Source organism: Homo sapiens, chromosome 9, assembly GCF_000001405.40.
Source record: "Homo sapiens chromosome 9, GRCh38.p14 Primary Assembly".
NCBI lineage: Eukaryota > Metazoa > Chordata > Mammalia > Primates > Hominidae > Homo > Homo sapiens.
Genome location: NC_000009.12, coordinates 130,173,754 through 130,192,004, shown reverse-complemented (window position 1 = coordinate 130,192,004; position 18,251 = coordinate 130,173,754). Strand labels below are relative to the sequence as shown.

Here is an 18,251-nt window from a genome sequence, read left to right as displayed (position 1 = left end):
CTCGCCCTGACCCACTCGCCGCGCGTTCCCCAGCCCTTCTGCCCTCCAGCCCCCCATCACGTGTCCCCACTGTGGGAGTGGTGTCCCAGCCTCCTTGGCAGTCACTGTCTCCACCCCAGTTCGCTGAGTGCCAGCCAGGACTGGTCCAGCACTGGGCTGGGGCACACAGCGGCTGGCAGGAAAGGTGGGCGGGCCCCGTCTGCTCTGCTCGCTGCCCCTTCCAAGCAGGCTGCCCACCAGGGCCATCAGACCGCCATGTGCAGCAGTGAGCAGCTGTGACGGCCACTGTCGCCATCGGGTGCTGACTGCGGTCTGCCCGGCACCAGCCTGAACCCTCATTTCATTAGCGTCTCACACAGCCCAGGGGGCCATGGGCTGTTGCTGTATCTGTCTCAGGATGAGGCACCTGGGCTCATCAGGGGAGCCCCATGCCCACGGCCATCCAGCTGACCAGGCTCTGACCACCCCCTACCGGCCCCCACTTCCCTTCCTTACATCCCCACGGCTGCCTCGCCTCCATGTAAAAGATGCCAGAGCCTCCGGGCTGGTGGGAGGAAGGCTGAGCACTCGAATCGGGGGGTATTTCACCTGTTGGGGGATCTCCCAGCCTGTCTTCAGGAATGGCGAGTAGATGGAGTCCCTGGCCCCGGAGGGCAGACTCGGGCCAGGCCAGGTAACCTTCAGCCCCAGCTCCCGGGAGCTGCTCTTCACCGCTCTGCACCCAGGCCTGGCTCTCCTGCCCGAGGCCCTCTAAAGCCAGGCTCTCGGCTTGGGACACACAGTCCAGCAGGGATCACCCAGGGCCTTTGCACAGATGGGTCTACCAACTATCCAGTCGCCACGTGGCCTGGGTCAGCGTGCTCCCTGCCCCGCTGTCAGGGGCCAACGAGAGGATACACATCACAAGCACTGAGCCCAGCACATGGTGGGCGCCCTGGAGATGCTGTGCCGATGAGGAGTCGTGGTGTCTGAATAAAAGTCAGAGGGCCAGGCCTTGGGGCAGACACCAAGATGGGAAGCTGTTGCCGCTCCCGCAGGAAGTGGAGCCAGGAGAGAGGCTGCTTAGAGCTGCTCAGATTCAAAATCAAAGCCCCGTTTCCCTCTCAGCCCCTTGGGATCCTCCCCAAGGCCCTGTGCTGACAGGCGGGGGTCCCTGCCAGCCCACTTCCAAGAAACTGCGGTTTCACAGAGAGGCAAAGCACTCAACCAAGATCACGCAGTCAGGGGTGGAGGAGTGGAGATGGAGGCCAGGTTTATCGACTCCAGAGTCCAGGCTCAGGAAGGCTTTAGCTGGGAGATATCATCCCCAAGGATGATCCTGCCCACCTCCCGCACGCTGTCAAAGAGTTACTGAATCTTTGGCATCTCTGACGCCCCAACAAAGTGCCGTTGGTGCTGGCAGGCAAAGGTCCTCAGTATCTGCTGATCTGTTAACTTGCTTTGACTGGCTGAGTGACCCAGATCAAGTCGCACTGACATAGGTTCAAATCCCGGCTCTACCATGTTCCAGTTGTGTGACATTGGACAAGTCGGTTAACCTCCCTTGGTTTTCTCACCAGAAAACTAAGGGCGATAAAACCTACCATAGTTACATACGTAGAAAATAGATGGAAAGAAACCAGTTGAAAATGTACACAGTGGCCTCAGAGAAGCTGTATGAGAAATGGTTTTGTTCTGTCTCTGTGAGTGCCTGCTTTTGTCCGATTTGGACCTTCCCCAATGGCTGGGTGCTCCATGGGGCAGGATCTATGTCTGCCTAAGTTGCAGCCAAATGGTAGCATCTGGCACATAGTAGGTGCTCAATGTATGTGTGTTCTCACAGAATGCATGTTCTTGTTTTAGGTGGGTAAGTTGGAAAGTAGACAGGGCTACTTTTATTTTCTAAAACCCAAAGTTATTTCTGGCTAGTAAAGGAACTTGTTCCAATGACCACATATATTCTCTCTCTCTCTCTCTCTCTCTCTCTCTCTCTTGCATAAACATACAAGAACTACCCCCTGGCTCAAGCCATCTTTCCTGCCAGACTCAGCTCAGAATCTTCCAAAAGGAAGTAAGCCACATCTTCTGCCTCTTTGGGGCCTTCGAGACCTTGGGAATATATATATATATATATATATATATATATTTTTTTTTTTTTTTTTTTTTTGAGATGGAGTCTATCTTCTAGCTCTGTCACCCAGGCTGGAGTGCAGTGGCACAATCTCAGGTCACTGCAACCTCCACCTTCTGGGTTCAAGCAGGTTCAAGCAATTCTCCTGCCTCAGCTTCCTGAGTAGCTGGGATTATAGGCACGCGCCACCACACCCGGCTAATTTTTGTATTTTTAGTAGAGACAGGGTTTCACCATGTTGACTAGACTGGTCTCGAACTACTGACCTCAAGTGATCCGCCCACCTCGGCCTCTCAAAGTCCTGGGATTACAGGCGTGAGCCACCGTGGCTGGCCAAGACCCTGGGGAAATCTTGGGTGTGTGGAGTTTTCTCAAGATTCCTGGTGGGGACCCTCTCAAACATTTCAGAGCCGACCCCGGCACTCAGGGATCCGGATCAGTCCCATTCCACAAGCATTTCCCAAACACTGCCAAGGTCAGACATTGTGGAAGGCACTGAAGCAACTGACCTACTCAGTAGAAAGGGTCTTTGTCTAAACTGACTCATTCTTTAGCCCCTGTAGACAAGTGACCTTGGGTAACTAAATTCACCTCTCTGAGCCTCAGTTTCCTTAGCTGTAAAATGGGAATAGTGGCGGTCACAATACGTTTCTTGCAGGCTGGTTAAAGGAACAAACAGGATTTTCACCCTTTCCTTCATCCAGCAATTAATTTCTGAGCACACTCAATGGGTCAGAACCTGAGCCAGGCTCCAGGGACACAGCAATGACCTAGACACAGGTTCCTGTCCTCTGAGTCCCTGATACAACAGGGGAGACACACCCTGTTAGCACACACCCACACAGCTGTCTATCTGTCATAATAAGAAAGGAAAGCTCAGCTGGGCCCAGTGGCTCATGCCTGTAATCCCAGCACTTTGGGAGACCAAGACGGGCGGATCACCAGAGGTCAGGAGTTTGAGACCAGCCTGGCCAACATGGCAAAACCCCGTGTCTATTACAAATACAAAAATAAGCTAGGCATGGTGGCAGGCACCTGTAATTCCAGTTACTCGGGAGGCTGAAACAGGAGAATCGCTTGAACCCAGGAGGCAGAAGTTGCAGCAAGCCAAGATTGCACCACTGCACTCCAGCCTGGGCAACAAAGTGAGATCCCCGTCTCAAAAAAGAAAAACAAAGGAAAGAGGCTGGGCGCAGTGGCTCATGCCTGTAATCCCAGCACTTTGGGAGGCCAAGAAGGCGGGTGAATCACCTGAGGTCGGGAGTTCGAGACCAGCCTGACCAACATGGAGAAACCCCGTCTCTACTAAAAATATAAAATTAGGTCATGGTGGCACATGCCTGTAATCCCAGCTACTCGGGAGGCTGAGGCAGGAGAATCACTTGAACCCAGGAGGCTCCGCCGAGATCGAGCCATTGCACTCCAGCCTGGGCAACAAGAGCGAAACCCCGTCTCAAAAAAAAAAAAAAAAGGAAAGTTCAGGATTAATGAAATGTGAAGCAGGAACCCAACCTAGCCTAGGGGGTCAGGCGTGCTCCCTGAGGAAAGGGCTGATGTGCAGGCCTCAGCCAGGCAAAGAAGAAGAAGCAGAGCTTTCCAGGAGAGGCTGCAGGTCCAAGCCTCAGAGGCCATCCAGAGCCTGGCGAGTTCAGGAACCACAAGAAGCCACATCACACTAGAACAAAACCTTATCCAGAGGCAGCGTGGTGTGGTCCAGGTGGAGAGAACACAGCAAGTATCCCAAAATGTTAACAATTGCCACTACTATTAATATAGGTGTCACAGCACCCAAAGACAAGACCAGATGGCCAGGGCTAATAACGGGGGCACCCCACAGGGGCAGGAACTGCAAGAGGCCGAGCAGGCCACCACCCCCCATCTCCCCACTTTGGATCATGTGGCATCTGCCTCCCCCACCCTAGTCCCCACATTCCTGCTTCAGTCCTAGCCCTCCAGGGACCCCCACCCCAGCCCCAGGAAGGGGTGGGAGACACAAAGCTGTGTGGCCTCCATCACAGCTCAGGCAGAAGCCAAATTGTTCACAGAAGCCACACGGTCACACCTAATGTCATAGCCGGTAGAGCAGGGAGCCCTCTGGATGGAAGCACTGTGAGGCTCCCAAGATGCAACAGAGGCGAGAGGTGAAGAGAGACCCCAGGGAAGGTGCGAGGCCCTCCACACAGGGATAGATGGAGATGGCATTGGCAGGGACGCAGAGACTGGGCAACGGTGGCACCAGGGGTGGAACCAGCATTGGCCACTGCCAGCACCTCCCCTCCCAGAATGCAGTGGATCTGCTTCCGAAACACCGAGGTCTGGCCCCTGAGCTGCACCAGGGCAGAACGGCTCCTGCAGGGACCACAGGAGGTTTTAGGACATGTGTTCCAGGGCAACTGGCTGGGAGGGGTGGCGAGGGCTGCTGCTGGAGCCCAGGCAGAGGCAGCCCTGGCCAGCAGCAGGCAGCAGCCCTGACTCCGGCTCTGGCCCTTTAAGAGCGGAGGGTGGAGGCTCGGCCCTGACCTGCCCTCCTGGAGGAGGCACAGAGTGACTCATCAGGGTCCTTGTCACGGTGCTCAGAGAGCAGGAGGACCCAGGGATGGCAGCGACGGGGCACAGAGAGGCACAGACTCGGACACATCAGCCTGGCCAGAGCTCGCTGTAGGCCGGACCCTGACCTTGACTGGGATACCTGCCGGTGCCTCCCTGGGCAGGGCCCCCCGTCTCCCAGGTGTGCCCTGTGGCCTCACATTGCTCCCCTGCTTTCCGAGACACTCCTCCTAGCGGAGCCCTTGCCCTGCTGGGTCAGCCAACAGCTCTGAGGGACCAACTCACTGCCCGCGCCCCCGCCCCGCCTCTCCAGGTACCTCCTAAAGCAGGGGCCATCAGCAACCCCACTCCACAACCAGGAAACCGAAGCTTGGAGAGGCCAAGGGACTTCCGCGGATCTGCTTCTGGCCACATAAGCTCACCTCTGAGCTGCTCAATCGCTCGTCAGTGCCCCTCGTGCTTGGAGCCAGGCTGAGCACAGCACGGGCCCTCCTGCCATCAGGGCCCTCCCGCCATCAGCACCCTCACGGCCACAGGCCCTCTATGCTGCAGTCACCGTGCAATTTCATGTCCCCAGAGTTGCCAAACCTTGACACCTCCTTGGGACCCTCTCAGGGCTTCCATCCAGAGGGCTCCCTGCTCTACTGGCCATGACATTAGATGTGACCGTGTGGCTTCTGTGACCAATTTGGCTTCTGCCTGAGCTGTGATGGAGACCAGCTCTGTGTCTCCCACCCCTTCCTGGGGCTGGGGGTTCGGGAGCCCTGGAAGGTGAGGACTGACCTGGAACATGCTGTTCCTGCTGCCTGAAGCACTCTCATCGTCCCCCACACAAACCCTCCCCGCAAACTTCTCATCTCCCTCAAGCAGTACTATCAAATTCAGCAAACAAAAATACAGATACCCTGTTAAGTTCAAATATCAGGTAAACAGCAAATCATTTTTCAGTATGTCTGGCAACCCTAGCCCCGGGTCTCAACTACAATATTACCTCCTCCAGGAAGCCCTCCCAGATGCACCCCAGACCAGGGAGATTCCCAGTCCATTGTGCAAAGCCCTGTCTTGACGCTTATCCCAGCCTGACATCTGCCTCCCCGCCAAACTGTGAATGCCAGCAGGGCCAGAAATCCAGCCAGCCAGCCTGCCCTGTGGCCCCAGCATCCGCAGGGCCTAACACGAGGCAGCTGTTCCATAAACATTCTCTAAATCAAGGAGTGAGGGCTGGCAAGGTGGCCCAGGAACCCGTTTGGCCACACATGCCCCCCACAGGACCCAGGGCCTCCCCTCTGCTCCCTGCTGGCCATGCCTCCTTCCTTGAGATGCACCTAGATCTCTTCTCAAGGCCGTCCCCAGCTCCACAGAACCTGAGCTGGGGAATCATGGCCGGGGCACCTAGGCAGGCTTCGCTCAGCGATTTTGACAGCTGCTCTTCATTTTAATTGAGATCATGTTGCGCTCAGGCGCAGCAAAGGCCTCATCACGGAAAGCCTGAAGACAACAATGGCCCGGCAAGGCTGTGTGGGCTGCTGGGCGCGCAGGGGGTGGTGGGGCCACTGGCCGAGGGGCAAGAACCCGGCCAGTGCAGGCTTTGAGCTCTCAAGCTCCTCCTCTGCCCAGCACACACACCATATATTTTTGAACAGAAGGAAAGCATTCGCTGTTTCCCCCACAGTGCCAAAAATAGCCCCAGCTCCTGCCTCTGAACAGGAATCTTTCGGTTCCTACAAAGAGGCAGGAGCAGGGCCGGGAGGAGGGGCCTTGCTGGCTGGCTGGCGGCTTGGACCCCTCCTCAACTCCCCAGCCCCAGCAGGTGAGAAGGGTCTGGGGTCCTCACGAGGCCTGGCCAGCTGGGGCCCAGCCTCCCCACACCCCACTTCTCAGGATCCCCCAGCCACGGAGGAAAACCCCCCTCCCCCAGCCCAGGAGGTAGGAGAGGGCTGGACAGAAACGGAAAGCAAAGCCCAAGATGGATAAGAAGGAACTTCGTTCATTCATTGGCTTGCTCGTTTATGTACTTGTTTTCTCATTCATTCCAACAATATGCACAGGCTCTGTTCTAGGAGCAGGGGCTACTCCGGCAGCCACGCAACGAGACGCAGTCATGCAATAAGATGCAGTCGGTCCTCACAGCTCCCAGCTGAATCAAGGGGGACTATGAAACATGTCGTCACCACCAGGACTGAGGAGGAGGCCGGGCCCAAGGACATCCCCCCTGGAAGTAGCCGCTGGGCTTTGATGCGAGTGTGGACGAGGATGGGTCCCATCCATGGCCAGTGGGAGGAAGCAGAGGGCTGGGTCCGATGAATAGGTGCCTGCCTCTGGGATGGCCGGGCGCGGTGGCTTACACCTGTAACCCCAGCCCCTTTTTTTTTTTTTGAGACGGAGTCTCGGAGTCTTATTCTGTCGCCCAGGCTGGACTGCAGTGGCGCAATCTCAGCTCACGGAATCCCAGCACTTTGGGAGGCTGAGACAGGCGGATCAAGGTCAGGAAATCAAGACCACCCTGGCCAACATGGCGAAAACCTGTCTCTACTAAAATACAAAAAAAAAAAATTAGCCAGGCGTGGTGGTGCACGCCTGTAATCCCAGCTACTTGGGAGGCTGAGGCAAGAGAATCGCTTGAACCTGGGAGGCAGACGTTGCAGTGAGCCGAGATTGCACCATTTCACTCCAGCCTGGGTGACAGAGCGAGACTCTGTCTCAAAACAAAAAAAGAAAAAGAAAAAAAGAAAGAAAAGGTGCCTCTGGGCTGCCCTAGCACGCTGCATGGCTCCCTCATCCAACCTAGCAAAAAGTCTGCAAGAGGCATTGTCTTCCTGTTTTATAGGTGAAGGCGCGGGGATGCATCAGGAGGGATTAAAAGCCTGGGATAAGCCGTGCCAGGCCCTGTCACCAATGTTTTCGCATGAATGCCATCCACAATCCTGGGAGGCATCTGCCCATTTCACAGATGAAGTCTGAGGGCTCGGTGGGAAAGGCCAGACCAAGGTCCCAGAACTAACCAGTAGAGGCCTTGGGATTTGAATCCAGGCCTGTGGGTCCCTGAGAGGAGCCCCGGACACCAGACCACCAGAAAAGCCATCTTGGCTCAGCATCCCTCTCCCAGTTCTGCAGAGATTCAGAGAAGGAAGTGGTCACAGGGCTAGAAGTGGAGAGCAAAGGATTTGAACCCAGCTCTGTTTGGTTCCAAGTCTAGGGCTCTTTCTGTTTCCCATAGCAGAAGAAAGAAAAGAAAAGACGCCGGGCGCGGTGGCTCACACCTGTAATCCCAGCACTTTGGGAGGCCGAGGCGGGTGGATAATGAGGTCAGGAGATCGAGACCATCCTGGCTAACATAGTGAAACCCCATCTCTGCTAAAAAACACAAAAAATTAGCAGGGTATGGTGGCGGGCGCCTGTGGTCCCAGCTACTCGGGAGGCTGAGGCCAGAGAATGGCGTGAACCCGGGAGGCAGAGCTTGCAGTGGGCCGAGATCATGCCACTGCACTCCAGCCTGGGCGACAGAGCGAGACTCTGTCTCAAAAAAAAAAAGAAAGAAAAGAAAAGAAGGAGGGAAGGGAAAAGAAAAGGAAGGAAGGAAAAGAGAAAGAGAAAGAGAAAGAAGGAAGGAAGAGAGAGAGAAAGAAGGAAGGAAGGGAGAGAGAGAAAAAAAGAAAGAAAGGAAGGAAGAAAGAGAGAGAAGGAAAGAAAAAGAAAGAAAGAAAGAGAGATAAAGAGGCCACTTTCCATCCCCAAAGGCTAGGGCTGTGGGGGAGCCGAGGTGGCCATGGCCCCACAGCTGGAGAGAGAGAAAGGCACACTGAACCCACTTCCCTGCTGAAAACTCAAGCCTGAAATAAAAAGGCAGAGTGCTATTTCTGCCTTGGGTTAAACATTCCTCAAAGCCACATTCCTCCTGCCCTCCCCCTGCTCCCCTGCCAGGGAATCCAGAGCACAGTGGCCTGGATGCCTCACCAGCTTCCTGGGGCCCCCTCGGTGGCTCAGAAGTGCCAAAGCCAGCAACTGCCCTGCACCCCTCCTGGGCAAGGAGCTCCCCCCCCCAGCCGCATGGTCAGGGCACCCGGAGCTGAGAAATGGTGACATCGCATCTCACAGAGAGTGGAACAGATGGAGAGACTGCGGCCCTGAGAGGGGCAGCCAGAGGCCACAGCAAGCCAGGCTGGAACCAGGACCCAACTCTCAACTCCCTGGCTGTCCCCCTTCCCCGACAGACTGTAGGTCAGGAGCACAGGCAGGTCCTGTCCTGGTCACCAGGGAGAGCAAACCACAGCACTGCAGGGAAAAACTCTTCGGAAAGATCCCAGCCTTCTGCAGAGGCGAGGACACCCCGGGCCACACACCCCACAGACACCAAAGACCACAAGATGTGGCCCAGACCTCAAGGAGCTAAAAGTCACGGGGGTCCCCTTGGCCACCATGCCCCCAAAACCCACACTGCACCTGTGAGGACTTGGTCTCTTTCTCTGTCGGACAGATACCTCCGAAGGCACCTGGGCTGAGCCAGGCACAGGGCAGGGCAGGATGGCCAGGGGCACTCAGTCCTCACCACCTTGTCCGTGACAAGGCTTCCCAGGAGCAGGGGTGGTGCCAGCACCGTAAGATGGCGGTACGTTGCTCCTAAGTTCCCAGGGCGGGAGGATGACCATTGAGATCAGCCCAGCGCCCACACACGGTCAGCACCTGCTGAGCCTCCACTGGGGTGGGTGGAGGCTGAGGAAGCCGTTGAGGCCAGGGCACAGCTGCGCCACACACTCCTATCAGCGCCTCTCCTCCTGCCGCCTTTCCACAAGGCCTCAACTCTGCCTCCTTCCTGGAGGAAGGCAAGGCGGAGGCTGCCCCAAATCTCCTGCAGGAGGCAGAACCTCTGGAACCAGCGGGAAGGATCCTATCTGCCACCAACCTCACACCCAGCCCAGGAGTCCGGGATGCCTGGCCAGTGTCTGATGCTCCAGCAGCGGCTTGGATGCTCCCAGGGACTGGGCGCTCCCTCCCCTTGGCAGGGAACTCCAAGGTTTTGAGGCTCACAGAGACGGTGGGAGGCAGGCGCCGGGTGGGAAGGGCGTGGCTCTGGCAACATAAAGATCTAAGCCTGAACCCCGACTGGCCATCGATTGGCTGGCTGGGGGGACTTGGGCGTGTCCCTGAACTTGCCTGGGCCTCCCTTTCCTCATCTGTAAAATGGGTATAAGGGTCCCTACTCCCAGGGCTTTGGGGAGAGGGCAGCACTCAGCACTCCTGGTCCCGAGTGCCCACTGGGTAAACGGTGGTCGTCATTGCTGTCATCTCCCCCCAACCACAATACTCCCCTACTGCCTTGGGGAGTGGCAGCTTATCACCTGGTTCCAGACCTGGCAGCTGAGCTCCCAGCCTTTGGCGCGGCTCCCGGCCTGTCTGTGCCTCCCTCCCCAGCGTCCCCCACCCCCAGGCACACCTACATTTACAACCTGTACAGAGCTGCCCTCACACACCACCACACGCGTGCGCACAGGAGTGCCCGGCTCACCCACTCCTGACACACGCCATGACCCCGTCACTCACGCTCGGAGCGTGCCCACGTGAATCGGGACTTGCCCACGTGCCCCGCAGCACCCGCCCTGCCTGCAACACCCACACCAGGCACCCGGGCCCGCTCACGCTCACCTGCACACCTCCATGGCGGCTCCCTGGCACCTCCACCAAGCAGGGGCCCCTCACCGCGGCCCAGGGCTTCAGTGTGCAGACTCCAGGCTGAGAGGGGACGGGGATCAGACCCCAATGGCACCACTCTCCAGCCGTGGGACCATGAGCCAGCTCTCATCCACTCTGAGCCTCCATTTCCTCATCTGTAAAAAGGGGACCCCCACAGGGCTCCTGGGTGGAATTGGTGAGGAACACACGTGAACACCAAGGACAGGCCTGGGTCACACGGAACATGCCTAATACCAGATTCTCACCGCAGTGACAGCCCCTGACCGTCCCGTGCTGCAGCTCGCAGATCCTCCACCACCACCAGGAGCAAAAGGAGGGCCGAGATGAGCCGCCAAGTTCAACGTCTGTTATTCCTAACCCCGCACACGGCTCTGTGTAGTAGAAGTCCCTTATCCCCAACCCCCAGATAAGAAAACTAAGGTATCGAGAGGCTAAGAACCATGCCTGAGGCTGAGAAGATCCAAGGGCCTGGGTCTTGAACACCACAGCCCAAGCACACTCCGTCCCTGGGGCCCTGACGTACCTTCCCCACTGGGTCTCACTATCTGGGAATTTGAACATGGTACAGAAAGGGAAACTGAGTCCCAGAGGGAACTAGTGACTCCAAAGCCACTGTCCAGGCCATGATGGTCCTGGGACTTAATCCCAGGCAGGCTGCTGTCCATCCTCTGAGCCCCTGGGCGCACAGGAGCCTAAAAGCCAGCCTGCCACAACCCTTCTCCCTCCCCAACTCACCAAGCCAGGAGCCAGACACAGAACAATCCGGCCACCAACCCAGCCGGGCCACCACAGAGGCCCTCCATGTTTGCCACTCGCTCCCAATTCAGCCAAGAGCCTGTGACAGCTCACTCTGTGATTGCCCAGGGGAGTGGCCAAGAACGGCTGTCCCTGATACAGCCGGTCCAGCAGCCTCCTTCCTGGGAGAGCATTTACTGAGCACCTACTACGTGCAGATCCCTGTGCAAACATCCCTGTCTCATGCGCAAGGGACCTCAGAGCTCAGAGACGTAAGGAGCTGGCCAGGATTGCCCAGCCAGGAAACAGCAGAACTGACCTTCAAGTCCTCAGCACCTGCCGTTCTGCCCTTGGTCAGAATATGACCCCAATCTCAAGTTACCTAGAAACGCCGCAACGTAATCTCTGACACTCTCTGCCCTGCAAAATAGATCACACACAGAATGTGAAAATTGATTCATCTTGTTATGACCATAATGATGATGTGCTTTTTAATTTATATTGGCTTTTTTTCTTACCAGAGTGCTAGAGATATCTGGGGCAAGATGAACCCCAGCAGAAGACCTCAGTGAAGAAGTCAAGACATCCCTAGGCCAGGCGTGGTGGCTCACGCCTGTAATCCCAGCACTTTGGGAGGCCAAGGTGGGTGCACCACTTGAGGCTAGGAGTTTGAGACCAACCTGGCCAAAATGGCAAGACCCCATCTCCACTAAAAATACAAAAATTAGCCAGGTGTGGTGGTGCACATTCTAATACGAGCTACTCAGGAGGCTGAGGCAGGAGAACAGCTTGAACCCGGGAGGTGGCGATTATAGTGAGCCGAGATCGCGCCACTGCACTCTAGCCTGGGTGACGGAAGTGAGATTCCATCTCGATAGATAGATAGATAGATAGATAGATAGATAGATAGATAGATAGATAGATAGATAAAAAGAAGGCAAGACATCCCTATCTGAACCCCAACAGCCAACTCACCTTGGCACAGTGGGAGGTGCCCTGACAGGAACAAAGCAGTTCCTGCCACATATTTGCTGTGTGACCTTGGGGAAGATGCTTCACCTTTCTGGCGCTTAATTTGCCTACTTGTAAAATGAGGGCATTGAACTACTTGGCCCCAAGAGTCTCCTCCAGCTGAAAGATACTAGGATTCTATTTCATAGTATTCAAAGAAATAAATGTTGACACAGTGAGCCACCTCTTTTCCTCCCCATAAAATTGGCAAGAAGTAAGGAAAACAGTAATACCCAGTGCTGGCAAGAATGCAGAGAAATAGGCACTCTCTCATCTACTTTTGCTGAAAATGTAAACTGGAACAGCCTTTCTGGAGAGCAATTCAACAATTTTTAATCAAAAGCCTTTCAAAACATCCCCAGCCTTTTAACTCCATAACCCCGTTCTGGGTTCTTATCTTCAAGAAAAGATAAGTGCAAAGATTTAGTGCAAAGACATTCATGCAAAGATGTGGTACAAAGATGTTCATCTCAGTATTTTCAATATGGGAGGAGGAAGCTAACTGTCCAATGACAGGAGATTAAATAAAATATGTTCTGTCCATATGATGCACCATGAAAAAAAATCATGCTCTAAAAGCATAGTTCATGATACGGGCAAACATTCAGAATGGTCAGGTTTTTTTAAGTCAGAAAATAAAAAGTAGATAATCCCAAATTTACAAGGTAATGAAAACTATGAGTCCAGGGACAGCGGCTCATGCCTGTAATCCCAGCACTTTGGGAGGCCAAGGTGAGTGAATCACCTGAGGTCAGGAGTTCGAGACCAGCCTGACCAATATGGTGAAACCCCGTCTCTACTAAAAATACAAAAATTAGCTGGGAGTGGTGGCGGATGCCTGTAATCCCCTACTCGGGAGGCTGAGACAGGAGATTTGCTTGAACCCGGGAGGTGGAGATTGCAGTAAGCCAAGATCGTGCCACCGTACTCCAGCCTGGGTGACAGAGTAAGACTCTGTTTCAAAAAAAAAAAGAGGAGGGAAGGGGAGGGAAGGGGAGGGAAGGGGAGGGGAGGGCAGGGGAGGGGAAAGAAGGGAGGGGAGGGGAGGGGAGGGGAGGGGAGGGGAGGGGAGGGGAGGGAAACCAAGTCCTACTGAGTCTTCCTCCTAAATATATCTGGAATCTGTCTTTCATGTCATCCCCACCGATACTCCAGTTCATCACCATGATCACCTTCGGTCTCATTACCACCCCTCTTCCCCGCCAGTCCATTCCGGGACTGCAGCCAACAACAATTTTTCTAAACCCAAATCTAATGTGTCTCCATCACCTCCCTTCCACGGCTCCCTACGGATCTCGAATAATGTCCAAATTCCTTCCTGTGGCCTCTCAGAGGGTGACATGGGCCCGGCCCACTCGACAGGACACCACCCCCCTCCACTGCCCATGCCTTGCCCCAAAGGGGTTTAAGACAGGCCTTGGGAGCAGCAGGAGCTGGGTCCGATCCCAAGGCCTCTGCCGGGGAAAAGGGCTTTCCCCTGACACGGGGTGATGGGAGAATTCTGTGGGGTGATGTAGGGAAGGGAGAAGCTGGGTCCCATTTAACCTGGAGCCCAAGGAGGCAGAAAGGGCAAAAAGAGCCTGTGAGGAGGAGGCTGGGCTCTGGGGCCTGGGTGAGTCCCTGCCATTCACCAGCTGCCCCTTCCCTCTCTGTACAAGGGGGTGGCCACAGGCCACCTGCCCTGGATGCGGAAGACTTGCACCCCAAGGACCAGCTGCTGCCAGGAAAGTTTTGAAAGGTTCCCCTCATGGCCAGGCGCAGCAGCTCATGCCTGTAATCCCAACACTTCAGGAGGCCGAGATGGGAGGAGATCACTTGAGGCCAGGAGTTCGAGACTAGCCTGGCCAACATAGCGAGATCCCATCTCTATAGAAATAAAAATATAAATAAATAAAGGTTCCCCTCAGAACCAGGCACCAAGCTAAACCCTTCATATGCCCCGAATCCTCCTCAACACTGAGGCCTTCCAAAACTGCCCATTTTCCAGAGGCGGAAAGTGAAGCCGGTGAGAGGAGGTTTGCCCAAGGAAGGGGCCAGAACCGCAGAACTCGCCCCTGAGCCCTCCTTCCCTCCCAGGGACTCTCCTGCCAAACAACCCCTTTGTCTTTCTGGCCCGCTCCCCGGACTGCAAAGCTTCTCCTGTTTAGATCCATGGAGTTGGAAGGCAGGTCTGAAGGATGAGCAAGCTGGTGCTCAGAGAGGCCAAGGGACTTCCCCAAGGTCACCAAGGCCGAGTGAGGACCCAGCCCCGCACCGCAGGGGATCGAGTCCTCTCCTAATAACACAGGTGATGTTTCTTGCCCAGATGCCCATCCCGATGCCGAGAGTCCACCTCAGTCTCTCCTGCTGCTGCTCTGCTCCACTGTCAGAGAAAGGAAAGGCCTCCTTGGTTCATGCCCACGCACACGGGATGTACAGGGACGGCCGAAGCCCCTCCCTTGCTTTGGTCCTTTCCTCTCCTTGTGGCTCACCCTGTGCCTGGCTGTGGGCCCTCCATGTCCCCACGCAGCCATCACACAACCCCCAGCTTTGTCCCAAGATGGTCTCCAGTGACTGCCTCCTGAAGGCAGCAGCTTGGCCCACCCTGGTTGAGCAGAGTTGGGTGGGGAGTGATGATCAGAGAATATTCCTCACCCTAGAGGAAGGGGCCCTCATGGGCCCCAGGACAGTCCACAACCAGAGACACCCAAGAACCCAACTGCTGACCCCAACCTGGAGCCAGGGACCCGTCCTCTGCTCGGGGTCACAGAGGCGTCAGCCGTGGGCTCCTGCCCTCCACCTGCTCCTGTGTGCCGGCACCATTCTGGGCATTAGGGAAAAGGCAGAGGAGAGTCAAGGTTGGCAGGCAAGGTCAAGGCAGAGCCTGGGCTGACCAAAGGCAACAGGGAGGAGGTGGCCACCCCTGAGTCCCAGACCGAGGGTCCCTGGGAAGGACCGCAAACATCATGGGGAGGAGAAGGAGAAGGGAGGAGGGCAGAGGTTGTGCCTCTTGGGCCTGGCTGGCTTGGGCCTGCAGTGGCCTCAGAAGCCTTTAAGGGGATGCAGCTCAGACCACCACAAATGGCTTGCACCCCCATGCTGGAGTTTTCGGATAACCCGGCTGCTTTCCTCCTGAGGCCAGGGATTCCATCTCTCTGGTCCACTCCTCTGTCTCCATGCCTGGCACACAGTGAGCACTTAATGAACAGGCCAGGGCAGCTTCACAATTCACAAGTGGGGCTGCGGAGGCCGCTACACGTAAGAGCAGGCCCCTGCTGGGATTCAGGCACAGCAGTCATAGATGTCACCTTCTGTGTGCCAGGCACAAAGACCAGAGTCAGCAAGATTCCTCTGTGGAGAGAAGAAATTTGCCCACAAAATACACATAAGCCCAGTTCAAGATGAAGCTGTATTGTATGGTCAAAATGATATATATTAAGGCCGGGTGCGGTGGCTCAGGCCTGTGATCCCAGAACTTTGGGAAGCCAAGGCAGGAGGATTGCTTGAGGCCAAGAGTTTGAGACCAGCCCAGGCAAAAGGGCAAGACCCTAACTCTACAAAAAAAATGTTTTTAATTAGCCAGGTGTGGTGTTGTACACCCATGGTCCCAGCTACTGGGGAGGCTGAGGCAGGAGGATTGCTTGGACCCAGGAGGTCAAGGTTTAAGTGAGCCATGATTGCACCATTGCACTCCAGTCAGGGCAACACAGCCAGACCCTGTCTCCAAAAAAAAAAAAAAAGAAAGAAAGAAAGAAAGAAAGAAAGAAAGAAAGAAAGAAAGAAAGAAAGAAAGAAAATGAACAAATAAGCATTAATTACGATCACTGGCATTTACTGACCACATACCCCACGCCACATATCAGGCCCCACACTGCACATGAGTTACCCTGTTGACTTCTCACATCCTCTGAGTTCAGGTGCCATGAGCACACCTATTTTGCAGATGAGGAAACTGAGGCTCAGGTAGGTGAGGGGACCGGCCCATCCCACAGCCGGGACACACGGGGAAGCCAACAGCCTCACCAGCAGGTTGGAAGAGAGTGGGCCAGACCTGAAAGAAACTGGGCCGCCCGCAATGCTGACTGCCACTGTCTAAGTCTTGGCTGCAGAGTGACCCTGTCCATCTCTCCCTAACCTGTTGCTGGTGGAAGGCTGAGGACTGGGTTAGGGTTTGAGCCAGGTGGAATCCCAGTGTGTCCAGTGAGGGCCACACTGCTGGGGCCTTTAGACACTCCTGCTTCCTCACACACACAGACCACCACAGACAGAGCCAGAGACGCCCACCAAGGACACTGCCCAGCACCGACTCGGACGTGGACCCATGGCTCCCCTCTAGGCCCCCTTGGCACTGTGGCCAGCTATGCATGAGGTGGGCTAGGACCCCCAGCATACACTGGAACTGTGGTCTTCAATCCGGGCTCCCCAGGACCACCATCTGCAGCACAAACACGTGTCAAGGATGCAAATTCCTGGGCCCCAGCCAGACCTAAAGAATCGGAAATCCGGGAGGGCAGCCCAGGTACCTTCATGTTTATTAATCAACCAGGAGATTCTGACATTTGAGAGTCCTTCCTGGGGCGCTTCTCTTGACCCCATACACAGAATCCCCCAGAACAAAGAGCAGATGGCTCCACTCCCCATCAGAAGGAAGCCCATCTGGGGGCGGGAGAACAAGCTGGAAGCTTTCTCTGCTTGTCCTGTTGGGAGACTTTTCATTCTGTGAACCTACTAAAGGCCAACACATGGGGGGAACACAGCTGTGAGCTCCACACACAAGGGCCTGCACTAGGGAGCTGACGTCAGCGCGGGAGGCAGACAGGAGGCCAATGAACCCACCGCCACCTCCAACGGCCCACCCCTAATAAGGGCTTCGACAGAGGAAAAGTACCCAGGCCAACTCTCTCTCTGCCCAAAACTGTTCCACGTCTCCAAAGGCCTTTAAAAATAGCCCAGCCCAGCACCACAAGGGCCAGTTCCTAACAAAGCTTTGTTGACTCAACTTCTCTTAAAGTTGACAGATCTGCCCGGAGGAGGGGGCCGGACAGGACTATCACCCCAGGCCCTTCCCATTTAGAATCCACCATCATGGGCTTCTAGCAAAAGCCAGAAAAAGACACCCAGCAGAGCTTTTTTTTTTTTTTTTTGGAGACAGAGTTTCCCTCTTGGAGCAATCTCACCTCACCGCAACCTCCGCCTCCCAGGTTCAAGCGATTCTCCTGCCTCAGCCTCCCGAGTAGCTGGGATTACAGGCATGTGCCACCATGCCCAGCTAATTTTGTATTTTTAGTAGAGATGGGGGTTTCTCCACGTTGGTCAGGCTGGTCCACCCGCCTCGGCCTCCCAAAGTGCTGGGATTACAGGCGTGAGCCACTGTGCCTGGCCCAGAAGAGCTCTTGGCACGAGCTCTGAAGTCTCTCACTAGCCTTGGAGCAGGACAGACCGGAGTTCAAGTCCTGGCACTGCCTGGTCACTAGCTGTGGGATCATGGGAATGCCACTTTGCCCCTCTGAGCCTTAGTTTCCCCATCTGTAAATGGAGATCGTAGCAGCACCCAGCCTGGTAGAGCAGTTGTGGCAGAGTCGAGGTGCTAATGATGCCAAGAGCTTGGCACGTGACATGCTCGATGAGCAGGAAACCTGGCTTCACTCCCCTGTCCCACCATGATGGAGGCATCCCGTGCAGCCCATGCCCACCACTCCTGATGGAGCCCACGGTGTCCTCACCCTCCCCCGGCACAGGGACCCAGGAAGTCCACCTGCTGGCGGCTGTGGGCCACATCTGGACTTAGCTTGAAGGAGTCCCCAGCGAATCTCACAAAACAGCAGCCAGACTGGAATGGGCCACCCACCTGCCCACCTTGGAGAGAGGGTGAGAACAGCCCCTGTGCCCAGGGGCTTCACCCCTTCCAGGTAGCAGCTCTTGGGATGTGAGCTCCATGCTGCAGGATTCCACAGGAGAAGGGCCAGCACCTCGCAGCAGACTAGCACCCGCTCAGGAAAGCCCCCTTTGTTCCAAGCATGAGGGGTGAGGGGCATGGAGCTGAAGCGTGGGCTTGGACAGACCTGCAGACGTGCCCAGAAGGCCGATGGAGTGGGGGGAAGCGGGGAGCAGAGGTTGTGCAATGCACCACCAGGAGCTGCCTCCCCAGCCTCCATCAACACATGGGGCTGGCGGTCAAGCT

At 55.8% G+C, this 18,251-nt stretch overlaps 1 protein-coding gene across 1 annotated transcript in view, besides 5 other annotated features; it reads right to left on the bottom strand.

The window, feature by feature from the left end:
- Positions 1-18,251, bottom strand: part of NCS1 (neuronal calcium sensor 1) — a 64,900-nt gene that overhangs the window by 45,299 nt on the left and 1,350 nt on the right. The gene's annotated exons all lie outside the window — the stretch shown is intronic.
- Positions 2,290-2,639: a silencer, noted in NCBI's record as "fragment chr9:132951645-132951994 (GRCh37/hg19 assembly coordinates)". NCBI's record gives its function as "represses an EF-1alpha promoter that drives an FKBP-Casp9 reporter gene in an ReSE screen in phorbol 12-myristate 13-acetate-treated (for megakaryocytic differentiation) K562 erythroleukemia cells {active_cell/tissue: K562(+PMA)}" and the evidence as "EXISTENCE:reporter gene assay evidence [ECO:0000049][PMID:32094911]".
- Positions 3,813-4,654: an enhancer, noted in NCBI's record as "H3K27ac-H3K4me1 hESC enhancer chr9:132949630-132950471 (GRCh37/hg19 assembly coordinates)". NCBI's record gives its function as "activates a minimal SCP1, AML or CMV promoter by ChIP-STARR-seq in primed H9 embryonic stem cells {active_cell/tissue: H9 hESC(primed)}" and the evidence as "EXISTENCE:reporter gene assay evidence [ECO:0000049][PMID:30033119]".
- Positions 4,655-5,497: an enhancer, noted in NCBI's record as "H3K27ac-H3K4me1 hESC enhancer chr9:132948787-132949629 (GRCh37/hg19 assembly coordinates)". NCBI's record gives its function as "activates a minimal SCP1, AML or CMV promoter by ChIP-STARR-seq in primed H9 embryonic stem cells {active_cell/tissue: H9 hESC(primed)}" and the evidence as "EXISTENCE:reporter gene assay evidence [ECO:0000049][PMID:30033119]".
- Positions 5,498-6,339: an enhancer, noted in NCBI's record as "H3K4me1 hESC enhancer chr9:132947945-132948786 (GRCh37/hg19 assembly coordinates)". NCBI's record gives its function as "activates a minimal SCP1, AML or CMV promoter by ChIP-STARR-seq in naive H9 embryonic stem cells {active_cell/tissue: H9 hESC(naive)}" and the evidence as "EXISTENCE:reporter gene assay evidence [ECO:0000049][PMID:30033119]".
- Positions 17,327-18,237: an enhancer, noted in NCBI's record as "H3K4me1 hESC enhancer chr9:132936047-132936957 (GRCh37/hg19 assembly coordinates)". NCBI's record gives its function as "activates a minimal SCP1, AML or CMV promoter by ChIP-STARR-seq in naive H9 embryonic stem cells {active_cell/tissue: H9 hESC(naive)}" and the evidence as "EXISTENCE:reporter gene assay evidence [ECO:0000049][PMID:30033119]".